Source organism: Homo sapiens, chromosome 8 (assembly GCF_000001405.40).
Source record: "Homo sapiens chromosome 8, GRCh38.p14 Primary Assembly".
Taxonomy (NCBI): domain Eukaryota; kingdom Metazoa; phylum Chordata; class Mammalia; order Primates; family Hominidae; genus Homo; species Homo sapiens.
In genome coordinates this window covers 20,759,353-20,778,239 of record NC_000008.11, presented here as the reverse complement: position 1 = coordinate 20,778,239, position 18,887 = coordinate 20,759,353, and the positions used below count along the sequence as shown (strand labels likewise).

General features: G+C 40.6%; 1 long non-coding RNA gene across 1 annotated transcript in view; it reads right to left on the bottom strand.

The window, feature by feature from the left end:
• The window catches only part of LOC105379315 (uncharacterized), a 283,462-nt gene that overhangs the window by 170,058 nt on the left and 94,517 nt on the right, over positions 1 to 18,887 (bottom strand). The window lies entirely within an intron of this gene.

The window sequence follows — 18,887 nt, the reverse complement described above, 5'->3', positions numbered from 1 at the left end:
ATATTCTATCAATATTTGTAGTTTTTTTGGTGATATTCCTTTTTTAAATTTCTGATTTTGTTATTTTTTTTCCTTGATCTGTCTTCTTAGGGATATTTAACTTTCTTAACCTAATTCAAATAACTGAGTTAAATTTCTTAAGTTTTTTTCCCTAAGTTTTGTCTCTCTTCTATTTCATTGATTTCCACTCTATAATTTTTAATTTTTATAATCTTCTTCTTCTACATACTTTGGTTCAATTTGCTCTTTTTATTCCATTTTACTAAGGTGAAAACTTCCATCAGTGATTTTAGACTTCTGTTATTTTCTAACAGAAATAATTTAAAATACAGACTTGCTTCTTAGCAGCACATTAGCTGGATTCTACATATTTTAATATGTTACATTTTATTATTGTTCAGTTCAAATTTTTTTTACTTTTTCATGTATGTTTATTTTCTATCGCTGCTGTAACTGTCACAAATTTAGTAGTTTAAGACAATACAAATTTATTTTCTTACAGTTCTGGAGGTCAGCATCTGAAATCAGTGTCATTGGTCTAAAATCAAAGTGTAGGCAGGCCAGCACTCATTCTAGAGACTCCAGTAAATAATTCATTCCCTTGCCATTTCCAGCTTTGACAAGACGCCTGCATTCCTTGGCCTGTAGCCCCTTCCTCCATTTTTGAAGCCAACGGTCTACCATCTTCTCTTCTCTTCTGATATTTGCTTCTGTTCTTACATCTTCTCTTTCTGACTCTGACCCTTCTGCCTCCCTTTTAAAGGTCCTTTGTTGTTACATTGGGCCCAGCTGGATGATATAAGATAATCTCTCTAGCACAATACACTTAATCCATAAAATTATTTTTATCACATAAGACGATGTATTCTGGGTTTCAAGAATTAAGACATAGACCTCTTTGCCAGGCCATTATTCCAGCTACACTCTATTTCATGCCATACTCCTTTTTTCTCTTGTGAGTTCAAAATACTTCCTAATTTCCCTTGTGGCTCTATTAGAAGTATGTTATTTTGAAAAACTTAGCTACTAACACAAATACCTGCATTATTTGAAGATCTGCTTCTATTTAATGTTTCATACCTTGATTTTCAGATCCTTTTCTCTGCTTCTTTCCATGGCTAGAAAATTTTATTATGTAACAGAATCATTGATGAGACATTTTAGAAGTTTATATTTAGCTGGGTTAATTCTGAAGAGAAAAATACATTTAAAGTTTAAAAATATACTTTTTAATAAACTGAAGTTATATTACTAACTGAGGTTATGTTTCTAAATATTAGACATAGACAGTTTGAGATAGATGGAGATTCTACCTCAATAAGGAAATCTACTAGAAATTATCTTCCAAGATCAATTATCTTCCAGGATCAATTCTAAATCTATTATATTTTACTTCTGCGTTGTCTAATGTGTGAACCTTCTTGGGTGCTGTCAAACCCATGATGTGTATCAAAGTAGCTAGCTATCTTGATGCTCAGAAAGCCTGGTTGTCAGTCCAAGTGGAGGTTCACCAACTAGATAGAGGAGAAAGGAATGCATGTGTCTATCTAAAAATACTGTTAATGTAATGAAAATAATGGCCTTTAAAAGTGAGATTCTGGGGAATTTCACAGACAGCATCTGGTCTAGGTGAGGTAGTCCAGGTTATCACTTTAGAATAATGGAATGAAGACTATTTTAAAGTTATCAAGTGAATCTGTTAGTTTTTATTGCATCCAAAGCATCTGAAAACTTAGAGGCTTAAAATAACAGTCTTTTCTTCACTCGTGATTTTGCAGACCACAAATCAGTCAGTGGGATAGAACTTATTCATGGGCCTGGTAAAAATTAAGATACCAGAAAGTCTTATTTATCTATCATATTCTCTAAGCTGACTTTGAGGTTGGGAAGAAATATTAGGTTGGTGCAAAAGCAATTGCAGCGTTTGCCATTACTTTCAATAGCAAAAACCACGATGACTTTTGCACCAGCCTAATAAACACAGACTCACAAATATCACTGATCGATATAGTTCTGACTAAAAATTTACAAATACTTATGGGGTCCTGCAGTATATATATTTTGGCTGCACCTCTAAATTCACCTTTCACCTTGTCTGGCATGCCTAGGAGACCAGCCTTGATGAGTTACTGTCTAGCTAAGGTGTCCATCTGTACCAGTTTGACCAGTTGGAGCACTGAAAGTTCTGCAACTCAAGAAATTTCTGAGTTTCTGACATACTGGGACTAATGGTCACCTTATTCCTTGCCTGCTCCTGCCTTGTTGGGTTTGGCCATTAGAAGCCACCAGCAGGAGATTAGAGGTTGGGAGCAGATTAAAATTGTTTTTTTGTTTTGTTTTGTTTTTTCCTGGGCTCCCTCCCTGCTGAGTCACTGCTGGTTGACCCTTACTTTTTACCAAAGCCATGGTTTCTGTTGAGTGGCCTTCTCCAAATAGCTGCCCTTCCAAGGTTCTGCCAGCCACCACCTGTTCCTTCAGGCCCAGAGGTTGCAATGGCTCCTCTGAGCTGGTAGACCTGGGATGCTTCGCTTTCCCATTTGCTTCCTCAAATCACCTGCAGATCTTTGCACCTCTCCCCTTATTAAATTCACCTCAAATTTGCGAAAAATGCTACTCATTTTCAGATGAGATCTGATTGACGCTGGTGCAGCCTCCTGAGACCTGTGCTTGATACTGTGAGAGATATAAGAAAGGTCTAAAATATGGTTCCTACTGACAGCCCAGTGGGAGGAAATAATTTGTAATAAAGTCATTAGAAAGCAATGGAACAACATCCAAGCCTCAGTTCTCTTCAGCTGTGAAATAAGGGGACTGAACTCAAAACATGCTTTAAGAGATTCCACAAAGCAAGAAAATATTGCCTTCCAAAATGTTTATCTCACTAATCATCTTTATCACTGTCTCACTCGTATTTTATTAAACATAAAAAAAAATTCAAGGTAGTTTCTGGCCCCAACACAATGACTGCTCACTTCTTAATAAAGTGCTAGGTTAAATACAATGTACAGGGCTATCCAAGGAGAGTAGCATGCAGAGCTGGCCTGACATTTTCATGGATGGTGTCAATGACTTTAAAGATGGGTAGTCTGCAATACAGAGAAGCCAAAGGGGTGAGGACATTCCAGGTTTAAGGCATGACTATAAATTAAAGCAAGACATGAAAGAAAGCCTTGTGGAAGGCAAAGAGTCAATGGAGAGGCTGATGTGATTTGTTCAGGATAGAATATCATGGGACTGGATTTCAGGAGCCTCCAATGCCAGGACAGTTTGAGAGGCATAGGTGTCCTGTTTTCCTAGGTCAAGCAGGAAAAACAAGACATTCTAAGAGTATAAGATGTTAACATAATCTTCTCCCTTCTTAAATGGAATTTTCTTTCATTGTGTGTGTTTGGTGAATTCAGATAAAAATAATAGGAGGTCACAGCTCATATGTTCCCATGGAAGCAGAGAAGATCTACAGAAGATGAGACTCCCAGACGGGTGTGTTATTTTTACCAGACCCAGTTTGGGGAGCCATTCCTTGAAGGGAGACCTCAATATTAAGGTGATTTTTCAAATCTGTGACCTTCAAAGGTCCTGGGTCTATCATTTAGAAAGACCCTACTAATCTCTACCTGTTTCATAGCAGAGGATTTCCAAAGCAGGGAGGTTCCCTTGAGGGAGTTATTTGGTAACTGTTTACACATTTGCACAATTAACATGCCATTTAGGTGTAAATAGAAATCAGCCCAGGGAAACACATAATTAAGTAGCAGCAACGTGCGGTGGGTTTTAAAAGGGTCCACCAGTGAGAGGTTAACCCTCATCCTTGTACAACACCAAATGCATTAACAGCCATGCCAGACAGAGGCCTGTGGAATCGCCAAGCTCCCAGAATGCAGCGGGGAGGCCAGCACTGTGGAGTTATTCCCAGGTGACACTGTTTGAATGTCATTTAAAGTTCACTTTCATTATTTTAATTGTCACTGTAAAAATTTCCCATTCAGGACTGATTATGTTCTAAGGGAAATCAGAACTTAAATTCCAATCAATCATAATTGAACGTGTTGTTGCAAGTGGCATATAAAGCTGTACCTCGGAAGTGATTAAGACAAGTATTAGTTACTTGTGAAAAGCTGCAGGGAGATTTAGGAGCAGACAGGATTAATTCTGAATAATTTGCATGGCCAAAGCTATCAGACAAGGGATAGAAGTGTTTTACAGGTGCCTCTGCAAGCCCAGAGGAGGGCAGGGCTGCTGCTTGGAGCTCAGCTAGGAATCAGCAGGAACATGAATGGCAAGAGGCAGCTGCCTTGCTTCAAGGCTTGGACTTCATTAGGCGACCTGGGATCTGGTCTTAGATCTTGTGGTTACCGGCTAAGTGTAGGGAAGGCACCCAACTTCTTTGAGTCTCAGTATCTCCCTCTGTAAAATTTCTGCCCTAGAAATTTTAGAACAAATTATCTTTTAATTACGAACATGCAAAAGCTCTTTGTAAAGCTCTAAGATGCTCTTGAGTGCTAACTTCAATTGTGATCAAATGTTGGCTACACAACAGGGATGACCTTGGTCCAGAGGTGGATCAGCTAAGCTCCATTAGGATGGAAAAAGGATGGCACCAGTGTGGCCCTCAGGGGAGCAAGCCCAAGACAATGTGTCTCATTAAGGAGTCATTAGGTAACAGGGTCAGGGTCCTAGCCAAGGGTGGTCACCACTCTTCCTGCCTGTGTCCTTTTCTCCCCCTCCCCGCCCAGGTCCAGCTGTGCACATGGACACAGGCTTGAGGGGCTAGCCTTGGATTATTTCACTGCATACAACTGGGAATTAGGCATAGAGTATCTTGTCACAGAACTGGCATAAAACTCAAGTCCCCTGAACAGAAGGGAAATGAAACTCACAGGCTTTGGAATTAGGCAGAGGTATTTGTTAAATTTCTTAATCTCGTAGGCCCAATATTTGCATCTGGAAAACAGGGATGAGAGGTACCTCATGGTACTGTAGAAGGATAAACCCAGTACTTAACAAGCTGCAAGCTCTCACAAATTGTAGCAATCATTGCAACCCTCAACTCATCAACAAAATTTTAGGATTTGTTCAAGGATTTAAAAATGAAAGCCAAAGGCCAGCGCCCCTGGTTTCTGCTTCCCAGAAGGTTTTTGACTGATGAAGTGGCCATGAGCCTACAGTCCCTTGGGTCTGAACCTAGACCCAGGGGTGTAGAAGGGGAGAGTGACAAGCTGTTAACAGTTCTGACTTCTTGCTCTACATTCCAGTGTCAGTGGCTCTTCTTACGGCAGGAGGCAGGACACAGAACAGGAAATAACTTCCCTACCTAAGAGGCACCAACAGCCTTTCATTCCGGAACCTCCCAGAAAGACGAGAACCCCAAGGTCTTTCCTCCCCCTACCTTCACATATAAACCAATTTTCTTGGAAAGAAAAGTCAAGGGAAATGTTAGGAACCTAATAAAGGTCTCTGAAAACAATGTTCCTCCATTTGAAAAATAAACTATGTCTTTAAATGCATTAACTCTGTGGGGAAATAAATGTAATAAACCAAATTCAATCCCTGACAAAATTTGTTTTCTTATCTATGTAAAATCAATATACTTGTTGCAATTATGTCTTTCAATAAATCCTCCCAAAGTCTTATTTTCTCATAAGATTTCCTGCCGCACTTAGATTCATTGCATTTATTTTCCATCTAGAGAAATTGTTTCTTGCATTTTTGAGCCATCGAGTTTCCTTCAAAGACACTGAACCGCACCCTCTGCCCCTCTTAGCTGCAGCTCCCTTCTGCAAGGGCTGTTTAGGCGACAATTACTTTAATTGGATTGCAGTGTGAGGCTGGGATTTGCACTGATGATAACAGTCCTCTTGGGTGGAGGGGTGAATTTTCCAGCCAGAACTGGCCTCTGCCTGCTCCTCCTTTCCATAGTTCTCACGGTGCAATGTGGGAAACTGTAGTTCTTTCCTCTCTAGGATATGAGCATGTGGCCATTTTATTAGGGGATGGATAGTGCTGCTGCAGTGAATTCTTCAAATAGGAATATTTATTTTATTTTGCAATGGATATGTGTGTGCTCTTGGGTCTATCTCTGCCAAGCCTAAAGGAGTTGGATCGCAGCATGCTAAAGCCCAGACAATCTCAGAGAAGAGTCTGTGTACCCGTTCCACCAGGCCCTGGTGTGGAGGTAATCCCACAAATAAGGTGTGCTAGCAGCTCCCCTGATACCTGCACACAGTAGGTCCTCACTAAAGAGATCGCTTCCCTCTCTCTTATGGCGGAGAGCAGGAAAATGATTCAGAGAAGACTCGTCCCAGTATCAGCACTGCACTTGGATTGGTGATTCCAGATACAATGTCACATGTTATGCAGTTTTGACACCGGTCTCCAGGCAGCTTCATGACTTTCTTTTCTCTCCTAATTGCCCAGGTCAGGTTACAGAGGCAGAGCCCTGTCTCTCAGCATCTCCTACATTCTCCCCAGATATGTTTTCCACAGGTCCTTCCTTCCCTCCCCCACTCCCACCCGATTCTCTCCTAGGGACTTGCCCCAGTCTCAGAGGAGGGAGCCAGAGCTGGCCCAGCCCTCCCCACCTACCCACTGCACTCCATGGCACATGCAAATCGGCTGCTGGTTTCAATGATTCCAGAGTGACTGCAAAGACACAGAGCAAGCACTTGAACCATCTCTCTCTTGCCAAATGCTGCTGATAGTGACAGGACAGTAAAAGGCCACCAGGCCAGAGAAGCCCAGCAGGAAGCAGTACAGCTTGAGGAGCGGAGGAGACAGGAGATGAACGAGCTACCAGAGACACTGGAGAGACGGGAGACTTTGACTTATTTATTAAGCTAAATTATTTACACTGAGGAGTCAGCTGCTCTGAATAATTTATCTCGGGTTCCAAGTCCAAACGCCATGTTGAATGGGAATGGGTGACCCTAGCCAGTAAAAGAAGACTCAAAAGTATAAAAAGAGAGAGCGTGCTCAAGTGCTCAACCCTTCCTTGTCGACGTCTGTACCTCTGAGGGGAAGAGGAGACTGGCAGGGAAAGGGGCTCTGGAGGTGGCCTAATGTGCCACCCACTGCAAAGGAGGGCCACCTGGGCTGGGTGGCTGCTCTCCCATTCCTCTTTGCTGATTGGGGAGTATGACTCAGGCTGCCAGGGGCTACAAAGCCACCAGGCTACAGGGGACCAGGAGTGGCTTCCTAAGATGTGACGAGAAGCTACAGAGGACTCGAATCACATCCCACAATGATGAAGGGAGCTCAATTCAATATTTGTAAAACCCTGGGTGGGATCCCCCTCCTCACATAAGAATTTAGTAATTATCACTGGGAGGACATTTGCTATTCATCTCTTTTCAATTATTCACCAGCAGGAAAGGCCAGGAGTGCATGGAAACCCAAGCACGAGCAGTTAGCCAGGTCTTCCCCAGTGTGGGAGACCCCAGAATTTGCTGAAGACAGGACAACACAAAGGCACCAGGTGTCCCTCCTTCCAAACTCACCCAGGGCCTCTGAATCTACTGCCAGGAAAAGCCAGCTCGGTTTCAATGGAAATCTCACCATGCTTTTGGGCTTGTAACGTGGAAGTGGTCATTCTACCGTTGCTTCAAGATCCTTTGGGCCGGGCGCAGGGGCTCATGTCTGTAATCCCAGCACTTTGGGAGGCCAACGTGGGCGGATCACTGAAGGACAGGAGTTCAAGACCAGCCTGGCCAACATCGTGAAACCCTGTCTCTACTAAAAATATGAAAGTTAGCCAGGCACAGTGGCGCTTGCCTGTAATCTCAGCTACTCGGGAGAATCACTTGAACCCAGGAGGCGGAGGTTACAGTGAGCCGAGATTGTGCCACTGCACTCCAGCCTGGGCAAGAGAGCAAGACTCCATCTCCAAAAAATAAATAAAAATAAAAAAAATTAACTGAGTATTCCATTTCCTATTAAAGAAAAATGGAACTACATTCCCTGGATTGAGTCCTTTGTGTTACCAGAAAGTGGGTAAGGCCCCAGGCCCCAGCTTTGGAACTGAAAAGATTGGGTTGGATTTTTGACTCTGTTTAGGAGCTGAATGACCTGAGGCTGGTATGGCCTCCATGTCTACATCAACATAATGGCGATGACAATGTGTACCTCATTGGATTGTCTTTAGAATTAGTATGTAAAAAAGAGTCCTCACATAAGCAGTAGTCAGTATAATGGTGAAGATTACTGTTGTTCATTTTTACTCTCTTTAATATTCTTTATTGGCAGCATAGAAAACTCATCAAGATTTTTTTGAGTATCTGGCTCTCCTTACCACCCAGTGGAAGAAACAAACACTTTTAATTCCAGAAAAGCATGAATTTCTGGAATCCTTTCTATTTCTTCCATACTCCTCACACGGATCTATTTAATACAGCACCTGCTATCTTCCTGGTGTTGCATCAAAATTGTGCTTGTGAGATACATGGTATTACCCAGATTTTATAGTTGAGGATATTCAGATGCAGAAAGTCTTAGAGTGAAAAACACTGAGCAATGATAGCTTCTGTTATTAAGCCATGAAGATTTTGCCATTGAGTCTCAGAAAGGTGTGCATGAAGGTCATTTTTGAGTGGTGGGAATGGACTTCCACTAAGCCCTTCCCCTTCTATGCTCACTCCTTGTGAAAGGCCATGCTTACCAGATGGGACAGGCTCTTGTGTGGACAGTGTGGAGCTGGTGTCCACCCAGTGAGTTGGATGAACCAGCCCACAGGGTGGCTGAGCCTATAGCATAAGCTCACCCATCAGGACCTGAGAAGGAAATCAATGTCCCATTAAAATAACTCAAGGAGTATTTAATATAAAGACTATTTACAAAGATGTGGGCAGAATTTAGGGAAATCACTACAGATAGCCAGCCCCTCAAAGTGAGAGTTCTGACAGCCCCACCAGGCCTGAAGCGGCCAGGGAAGGAAGCCATTCCTGGAACCTGGAAAATGCTCTGTCTGGCAGGACATGAGACCTCTGTAGGAGGGATGGAGTCACCCACTGCCAACCCACAGGAAGGGAGCTAGAGTAGGAAATACACCTTCCTCTTTCTCTCTTCTCACCTTCTTTAGCTTGAAATCACCCTGAAATAAGGAAGCCACTAATGAAGGTCTCTATCCCTGGGCACAAAGAAGGTAAAAAGTGGAGAGTGGATCAGGAGATGCCTGCAGAAGGCACCCTGCATACTAGTTGACTGTGTTAACTCACTACACACCTAGTGGAAAGCCAAATGAGTTTCCATAAACATCACCCATCGCAGGGCAACTGATTGAAAGTCTCCAGCCTCTTATGTACCTCAGTGAATGGATCGGTTATTTCTCTGCCATTTCTTCTAAAGCTGAGACATTGGAAATGAAGTTAACAAATTGGACCCCTAGCCGTGAAACCCCAATGGCCTCTTGTTAGGTGCTCAATCCACTCAAATTAGCAACGCCTCCAAAAACACATATTTGTACTTTTCTCCTGGGGACTTGTGTTGGTAAAATCTCCGGACAGTTGGTCAATTCAGTGAGGTAAGAAGCTTCAGCAGCAATCTGTCAATTTTTGGACAGCCAACTGATTCGATTTTCACTCTTCAATCATTTGCTTGGGGCATGATACGCTGTCAATTAATGCCTTATGTCTGCTCTTCATTCTGGATCCTACACTGAATATCCCACCAAGGCTCAACTCCCCAAGTCTGGCTGGGCTCAGTCCTAGCCTAATTCTGGCTAATGTTGCAGTATAATGGGAACCTTGTCTGTTCCCACTGATGAGATTTAGGATTAAACTTCTGCCTTGCTCCTTAAATTCTTTTGCTTAACAGCCAGATATACGTCTCCAGTATCAACCCTTGGGAACTAGATTGTCTAAGTGACGCAACTTTCTTTTTATTCTCCCTCTTCATCTACTGTGTTATCTGAGTCAATAGGGCAAGTCTTATGCTTTGATCTTTACCCTTACTCATTGATTCATTATGTATGAGAACCTATTCTGTGGGTCACTCTATCCTGCTTAGTCATCTGGCTTGGTAGTCCAGGTTATCCTTCTAGGAATGGAATTCAGTATAACCCTTGCCTCCCACTTATCAGTCTATTTTCTGTGAGTAAACATTTCTTGGTGGTTGACTGCCTGTCAATCTTCTAGTCTTCCAGGTATAAACTGATGCCTAGCCACTTGAAGCTATACTTTCTTACCTAACTGGAAGCCACTTTCTGCCTGTCTTACAACTGCCTTTATCACTTCCTTCCCACTCAGCTGACCCTTAGGATCACCATTTACAGAGGGGTACATCCAGGTCTAGAGTCCCACTTTCTCCCAGTTGTGATGTTTGACCCTAGCCCTCATCCCTTATTCATGACAGGGAGCCCTAGAGTAGTTATACCTGTTTCATAGTCAAAGACTTTTAGGACATTTCTATGAAGACTTGCCTGATCCCCTTCAATTAAAATAAATCTGTTGTTTTGCTTTACCAACCTCCAGAAAGGTACTAACTTTATTTTTTACCTATCTTTCTCTTCCATAATCTCTGTGAGGGCAGCGCCAAATTGTATTCATAGCACTTAGCAAACAATGGATGAGTGTATTAGACTGAATGACTGTCTTCCCTGGTAACTGTTGGTCAATGGGAACATGTGATATGGCAAAGACATGTCCTTAGGGGTTTATAGTCACGGATACAGTGGTCAAGTAGAGACATGGACAATGGTCAAGTAGAGACATGGACATGAACATGCTCCATTAGATTGCATGTTAAAGATAAGTAAATGCTAAGTGAAGGCACAAGTAAAGAACCCAAGATCCTAGAAGAAGAAGAAACCATTCTGTGTTCAGAAGACCCAGGTAAGAAGAGGATTCCTGGAAGAACATCAGCATACACTCTTCTCTGTAGTTCTAAAGAAGTACAATGTGTGCCCTTTGGAGGTCCCAGTAGGTCTTGGGACCTTGAGCTGCATTGGTCATTGAATTTTCCCATTCTTTGGCAAAGTTGCTATGAAGTTCCACAAATAGATGTATTCTAAGTGAATCAATGTTTTTATCAGGCTGTACCATGTTGCTTTCACTGTACTTTCTATACTTTCCTTCCCAAGGCAACCAGTACAAGTGGGTCTGACTTCTCACTACGAGTTCAGATAAATTATTTGCTTGTATATCAAAGATTACCCAGGGAGAGAGAAAACCAAAGGAATGACTCAATGATGTTAGAAATCAGACATGGTGGAATCTGACTGGTACAGTAGGTTCTTATTTTGGAATAGAGGTGCTTCTCTCAGCCACTCAGATAACGCTAGGGGGAGAATATATATAATTGTGCCTTTGTGGAGGGGGGTCCATTTAATGTCACCAATCGTATAGATTTGATTCTTATTTGCCTTCACTAATCCTGGAAATGACCTACACAGACACTTTCCCTGTTCAGAAATGAAAGACCACTTTCCCCTTTTGCTCACAAGACAGATGTGAGAAGGGGGAAAGTCCTCAGCATAATAAGAGAACTGCTAGACTTTCAATATTGGGGAGGGTCATCCACTTGAAAGCTCAGCACCCAGGGCTCACCATGCTCAGAGAATGACTCAGAGTTTACATTTTTATAGAACAGCCATTTCCACTTACCTAAAACGATCTGCGTCTAATAATAACAGAGCTGGTTGAGTTGCTGTTCACATCACCCACAGACCATCTTGGAGATTCCTATTTTAAACTCTTTGGCACGTCCTACCCAAACACAAAGGAAAATGCCACCCCTTTCCAACAGCTCATTATCTAGAGAATAGGATGTTTCTACCAAAGACTCAAGAACTCTCAAAATTATGGCTCTTGTCTAGAGAAGGGATTCTGAGATTTTCCATAAGCTCAAGTCTTATCTTCTCCACTGAGCTTTCTCTGACCACTCTAGTTCCATTGATGTTTAGCTTTGTAAAATTAATTTTCTGCAGAATACAGGTGACAACCACGAACCGCTTTGAGGATTTGCATGTAATGGTGTAGTCTTATTTAGTTTTTATTATGAAATATAACGTTTTCATTGGTTAGTCTTGCCTCCAATTGTTTCATAAATCTTTGAGACCAGGAACTGTGTATGTAAATCTTTAAATACTACATAGCTGCATATATAACATAACATTTTGCTTAATAAATATTTATGCAAAAATAAGAATACAGACAGATGTCTGTCCAGTTGGGTTGGAAGCACATCTCTATCTTTTCATTGAAACTGACTTTCACCTTTGTGTTCCATTACTGTATCCCACTGTTTTAACATAGTGCCTGGCACAGAGTGGGTGACCAATAAGTACTTAGGAGGTCACTAAATATAGGAGAGTACTCAGAATTAAATGATTGTTTTTTTCCTAACTTCACCCTCAGACAAGAGTAAAACAAAAATCAATTTGCCTCTAGAATTCATAGACTAGGGAAAGATTCTGAAGGTGCTACTTTTTGTATTCTTCACAAGCAGGAATACTCTTCACCATACCCTAAAATCAATAATCGGATGCTCATTACTTTTCAGAGCAGCTCTATCTATCTAGAGACTCCCTAACTATTACAAACATCTTCCTATGTACATTCTATTCCTGTGTAATAGGATGTCACCTGAGAATTGCTGACCAGAGCCCAAAACTAAAGTAAGAAAAGAGGAGTCTGCTTTGAATGTAATGAAAGGAACCTCCAACAATGGGGCCAGCGACTACCCTCTGAGTTAGTCATGAAGCAGTGGCAGAAGCAGCCTCGCACCTGCCCTCCATGGTCACAAATTCCACATTCCTCCCCACAACCCCTTCCCAATCTATAGAAGCAGAGGCCAGAGAAGGAAGTTGAAGGTAACATTATCTACATTGTGTGCTCTTGAACTCATTTTCAGCTACCTACCAAAGTAAGGAGTCCCCAAGAGATTCAGTGTAGCCATTGGGATGCCTGGAATAATGGACACCAAGCTCTTATTCCCAAACTGAATGCATACCAAGGGTGATGAAAGTTTTCTTTTTTTTTTTTTTTTTTTTTGAAAGAGTCTCACTCTGTCACCCAGGCTGGAGTGCAATGGTGCAAGGGGCTCACTGCAACCTCCGACTTCCAGGTTCAAGCAGTTCTCGTACCTCAGCCTCCTGAGTAGCTGGGATTACAGGGGTGCAACACCACACCTGGCCAATTTTTGTATTTTTAGTAGAAACGGGATTTCACCATGTTGGCCAGGCTGGTCTTGAACAACTGACCTCCGATGATCTGCCTGCCTTGGCCTCCCAAAGTGCTGGGATTACAGACATGAGCCACTGAGCCCGGCCTTTTTAAAATTTTTCTTATTGTAATTCTTATATACATACAATATTTGCCATTTTAACTATATTTAAGTGCACAGGTCTGTGGCATTAAGTACATTCACATTGCTGTGCGACTAGCATCACCATCCAGATCCAGAAATTTTCCATTTTTCCCAAGTGAAACTGTGTTCCTATTAAATACTAATACCCCATTCCCCCTCCCTCAGCATCTTTTTTTTTTTTTTTTTACTCTTGTGGTTAAAACATGTAACATAAAAATCGACCTTTTACATCTATAGTACGGTATTGTCAACAATATGCACATTGATGTATAGCGTATCTCTATAACTTTTTAATCTTGCATGACTGAAACTGTATATTCACTGAAAAGCAACTCCCCATTTTCTTTCGCTTCAGCCCTTACCCACAGTCACCAGTCTACTTTCTGTTTCCCTGAGTTTCACTACATTAGATAATAACTCATGTAAGTGGAATGATTTGGTATTTGTCTTTCTGTGACTGGCTTATTTCACTTTGCATAATATCCTCAAGATTAATCCATGTTGTAGCACAGGACAAAATTTTATTTTTTAAGACTGAATAATATTTCATTGCATGCATGTCACATTTCTTTTTTCCATGCATCTACCAGTGGACTTTTACATTGTGTCTACCTCTTGGCCATTGTGAACAATGCTGCAATAAACATAGGAATGTAAATATCTCTTCAGGATCCTAATTTTAACTCTTTTTGCTAGATACCCACAAGAAGGGTTGCTGCATCATATGGTAGCACTATTTTGAATTTTTTGAGAAACTTCCATACTGTTTCCATAGTAGCTACACCATTTTCCACTGCCACCAACAGTGCACAAGGATTCCAATTTATTCACATCATCGCCAATACTTTATTTTTCTGTTTTATTGTTGTTGTTGTTGGTTTGTTTTTTGAGATGGGGTCTTGCTTTGTTGCCCAGACTGGAGTGCAGTGATGCCATCTCGGCTCACTGCAACCTCTGCCTCCCAGGTTCAAGCGATTCTCCTGCCTCAGCCTCCCGAGTAGCTGGGATTACAGACGTGCACCACCATGCCCAGCATATTTTTGCGTTTTTAATGGAGACGGGGTTTCACCATGTTGGCCAGGATGGTCTTGAACTCCTGACCTTGTGATCTGTCCACCTTGGCCTCCCAAAGTGCTGGGATTACAGGCGTGAGCCACCCCGCCCAGCCCTGTTTTTTTTTTTTTTTTTTTAAATAATAGCCATCCTAGCTTGTCCGAACTGCTATCTCATGGTTTTGATTTACATTTCCTTAACAATTAGTGTTGTTGAGCGTCCTTTTATATACTTGTTGGCTATCTGTGTCTTCTTTGGAGAAATGCCTGTTCAAGTCCTTTGCCCAGTTTTAAAATCTGATTATTTGGGACTTTTTTTTTTTTTCTATTCACCTGTAGGAATTCCTTATATATTTTGGATATTAGTCCCTTATGAGATAGTTTGCAAGTATTTCCTCTCATTCTGTAGATTGCCTTTTCAATCTACTGGTAATTACCTTTGCTGTTCAGAAGCTTTTTAGTTTGACATGAGCACTTTAAAGTTTCAGATGTATGTGAATATAAGGATGGTGTCAGATTATTTCCTGGGCATTTTTGAAGGCAAATAGCTTACTGAAGTAGTCTAACACAGGAGGCTGAGTAGGGACCACCAGTGGAGTCTCTAAAGAAAAAGGTAAGGCAATGGCTACCCCAGGAGCAACTCAGCAGTTTCAGAGCCTCCATATGAAAAAGCACTCAGGTAGAAAAGGAAGCAGATGCACTTTAACAAGAGGGAGATTTGGGGCATGATCTGATGCTCCCAGGAAACTTGACTGCTCCTAAGGGATCCACAGTTACTGAGGAGGGCAAGGTAGAACCGAAGATATCTAGGCACGTGATCTACACAGAGACCACCACATCATGTATGCCACAAGCAGCAGAAGAATGAGACAAACTAGGGAGGGGCATGTAGTTAAGATCACCCCTTCCAATATATCCTGTCACCTTCTGCCAGGCTCCAACAACAAAACAACAACCCGGAGAAGGAGAGAGAGGAATAAAAGAACAAACTATCCCCTGGCCACTGAATATCACTTGAGCCAAACCTGAAACATAATGAGGTTTACATTTCACGTGAATTTCATTGAGTGAAAACAACAGCGTATGTCATTGAGATTTGGAAAAGAAATTGATCTGTTAAACGATGACTGAAGGCATTCATCAGAAAAAAAGAGAAAAAGTATTGTTCAGTATTTGTACCTTATTTTGACTATTCAGGAAAGTGGCTGCATTAATATTGACCCCAAATCAGACTATCTCTACTTTCCATCAACTGATCCTGATCCTTCCCACTAAAGACATCATCTACATCATCTTTCACGCAGGGGCCCTTTGGTTACCAGAAGATGGCTGATTTATCTTCTTTCAGCTGGATATCTGCCATTTTTTTTTTTAACTGTTCACTTAGGCCATTGTTTCTAGAAATTTCACTGTTATTGAGGTTTTCCTTTGGATATTCTCCAAATTGTCAGGACCTATTTAAAATTATGGTAACAGGGAGTGAATCTAGTATTCCTGCAGGGATCTTGCCGAACAAAATAGAGGAAAAATATTTTTGGCCTTGATCTGAAAGCCATACTTGCATACAAATTCTGATTAAGTTGGCTAAAAATTAATATTTGCAGATTTCTTACTTTGTGTCAGATATTAAACTAAGGTCTTCTCTTGTCCTATATCATTCAGTTCTTACAAAAATTATTTTGAAGACATTCTCTTTTGGCTAAGATAGAATAACACAAATCAGATTTATTATCCCACCTAAAATAACTAAAAAGCTGGACTGAATATATGAAAAGACAACAGGACTAAATATTGGACACCAAGCAATAAAAGGCAGTGCTCCCTTAGAGGCAGGAGGAAAACAAACAGAGCCATATGATTGTTCTGACTTACTGCCTAGAGAGTTTTCAAGGCAAGGCATGGAGAGGTGGAGCCCAGGCAAAGCTTAATGGTTTAACTGCGTTGAGGAAGCAGAACTGGGAATCAGGCAAGGATCAGGTGGCTAAAGTTTACAAGGCAGAGATCAGGAGAAGAGAGAGCCATACTTAGAACTTGAGACCTGTAGAAGACTCCTGTTGAGCCTTCAACTAAAGTCTCATTTGCACAGGCATTTAAAGAAGATACTCTAGGCTGGCAAAAGAACCACCTGAGAAAATTAGAAGGAACAATTCTCAGCCATCGCACAGGGCCAGAAAGTGTCTGAGAATGGAAAAATTCAAAATTCACCAAGTACTGAGTAGACTACTAAGAAGGGATTACCTCGGTAGTGGGAAAAAACTAGCCCTAGACTAAATGTATTCATGTTTTGAAAAGATCAAATGGTTTCTGTGTAACTTAACTGTGTCTCAGAACAAAACTTAGGAATATTTTAGGAATAAAAAATATATTCAGACAGCCCAGGCATGGTAGCTTATGCCTGTAATCCCAGCACTTTGGGAGACCCAGGCAGGTGGATCGCTTGGGGCCAGCAGTTCGAGACCAGCCTGTCCAACATGGTGAAACCTCGTCTGTACTAAAATTACAAAAATTAGCCAGGCTTGGTGGCACACACCGCTAGTCCCAGCTACTCAGGAGGCTGAGGCATGGGAATGGCTTGAACCTGGGAGGCGGATGTTGCAAAGTTGCAGTGAGCTGAAATCACACCACTGCACTTAAGCCTGGGTGATAGAATGAGACCTTGGCTAAAAAACAAAACAAAAAAAGATACATATACATACACATACACACAAGATTATATCAAGTATGTAAAAAGCAAAAAAGTACAACCTATAATGGGGATAGAAAGCAAGCAATTGAAACAAAACCAGAAAAGACACAAATCATATAAATGATATAATTAGTAGGCAATTGCATTAAAACAGGTATTATAACTGTATTAATATGTTCAGGAATCTAGAGGAAAATTGAACATATTAAGTAGAGACATGAAAGATACAAGATAGGCCTAAATAGAAATTCTATAGATTAAAAACTACAATGCCTCCAAAAATAAAACACAAAAAAAAACAAAACCAAGCAAACAAAAAACAGTGGATGGGATTTACGGCAGATTAGATATTGTAGAAGAAGAGACTAATGAACTTTAATGCAAAGCAACAAAACTATGCCAAATTTAACACACAAAGGGGAAAAGAGATGAAATAAAGAATGAACAGAGCATCAGTGAGGCATGAGGAAACTTTAAGTAGCCAAGAGGTTCCAGAAAGGAAAAGAGGGAGAGAAAAAAATATTTGAAAAAATAATGTCCAAAATTTTCCTGAATTTAATGAAAAGAAGCTCAACAAAATCCAAATATATTAAACATGAAGAAAGTTACTCCAAGGTGTATCAGAATCAAATTGCTTAGAACCACCGATAAAGTCTTAAATGAGCCAGAGTAAAACAACTTGAGACATACAAAAGAACAAATAGAAAGATGACAGCAGATTTCTCAGTGGAAACAATGCAAACCAGAAGACAATGAAGCAAAATCTTTAGAGTTCAGAGGTGGGTGGGGTAGGGGGAGTTGGGGGTAAGGGAGTAGGCGGCCGGGGGCACAAAAAAGCTAGCAACCTAAAAATCTGTAGTCAACAAAAATATCTTTCATATGGTGAAGGCAAAATAAAGTATTTTTCAAACATACGGAAGCTGAAAGAATTCATTAACAACAGACCTGCATTACAAGAAATGTTAAAGAAAGTCCTTCCAGCAGAAGGAAACAATTTCAGATAGAAAAATATATCCATACAAAGGAATTAAAAGCATTAGAAATGGCTAGTATATTTTTTTCTAATTTAAATCTCCTTAAGCAATAATCAATTGTTCAAAACTAATAACAATGTATTATAAGTTTTATAACATATGTAAAAGTAAAATGTATGAAAACAATGCTACAAAGACTAAAAAGGGGAAATGGAAGGATGCTGTTGAACGGTTCTTATACTATATATGAAGTGGTGTAATACTACTACTTGAAGATTGCGATAGTTAATGATTTACATTACAAACCCTAGAGCAATCAAATAACATTAAAAAGAGGAATAACAAGCCAATGGAGGAGATCAAATGAAATTATAAAAAACAGTCCAAGGGAAGACAGGATGAAAGGAAACTGGAAACAAAGAACAAACAGAAAGCAATTAGTGTTTTGACAGATTAGAACTCAATCATATCAACAACCACATTAAATCTAAATCCTCTATACACCCCAATTAAGAGGCAGAAGTTTGATTTAGGAAAAGCAAAACACAACTATATGTTGCCTACAAGAAGGCAATTTGATACATAAATACACAAATTTATTACAAGGGTAATGATGGAAAAATATAGCAACCTAATACTAATTGGAAAAAGAAGAGAAAGAAACTGAATTGACTATATTATTATCAGACAACATAGATTTCAAAGCAAGATTATTTCAACCTGCTAAAGGGGTCAATTCATCAAGTGGATGCAACAATTCTAAATGTTTGTACATCTAATAACAAAGCTTCAAGATACATGAAGCAAAAACTGAGAAATAAATGCAAATTATAGCTGGAGATTTCAATATACTACTCTTAATAATTGGCCAAACAAGTA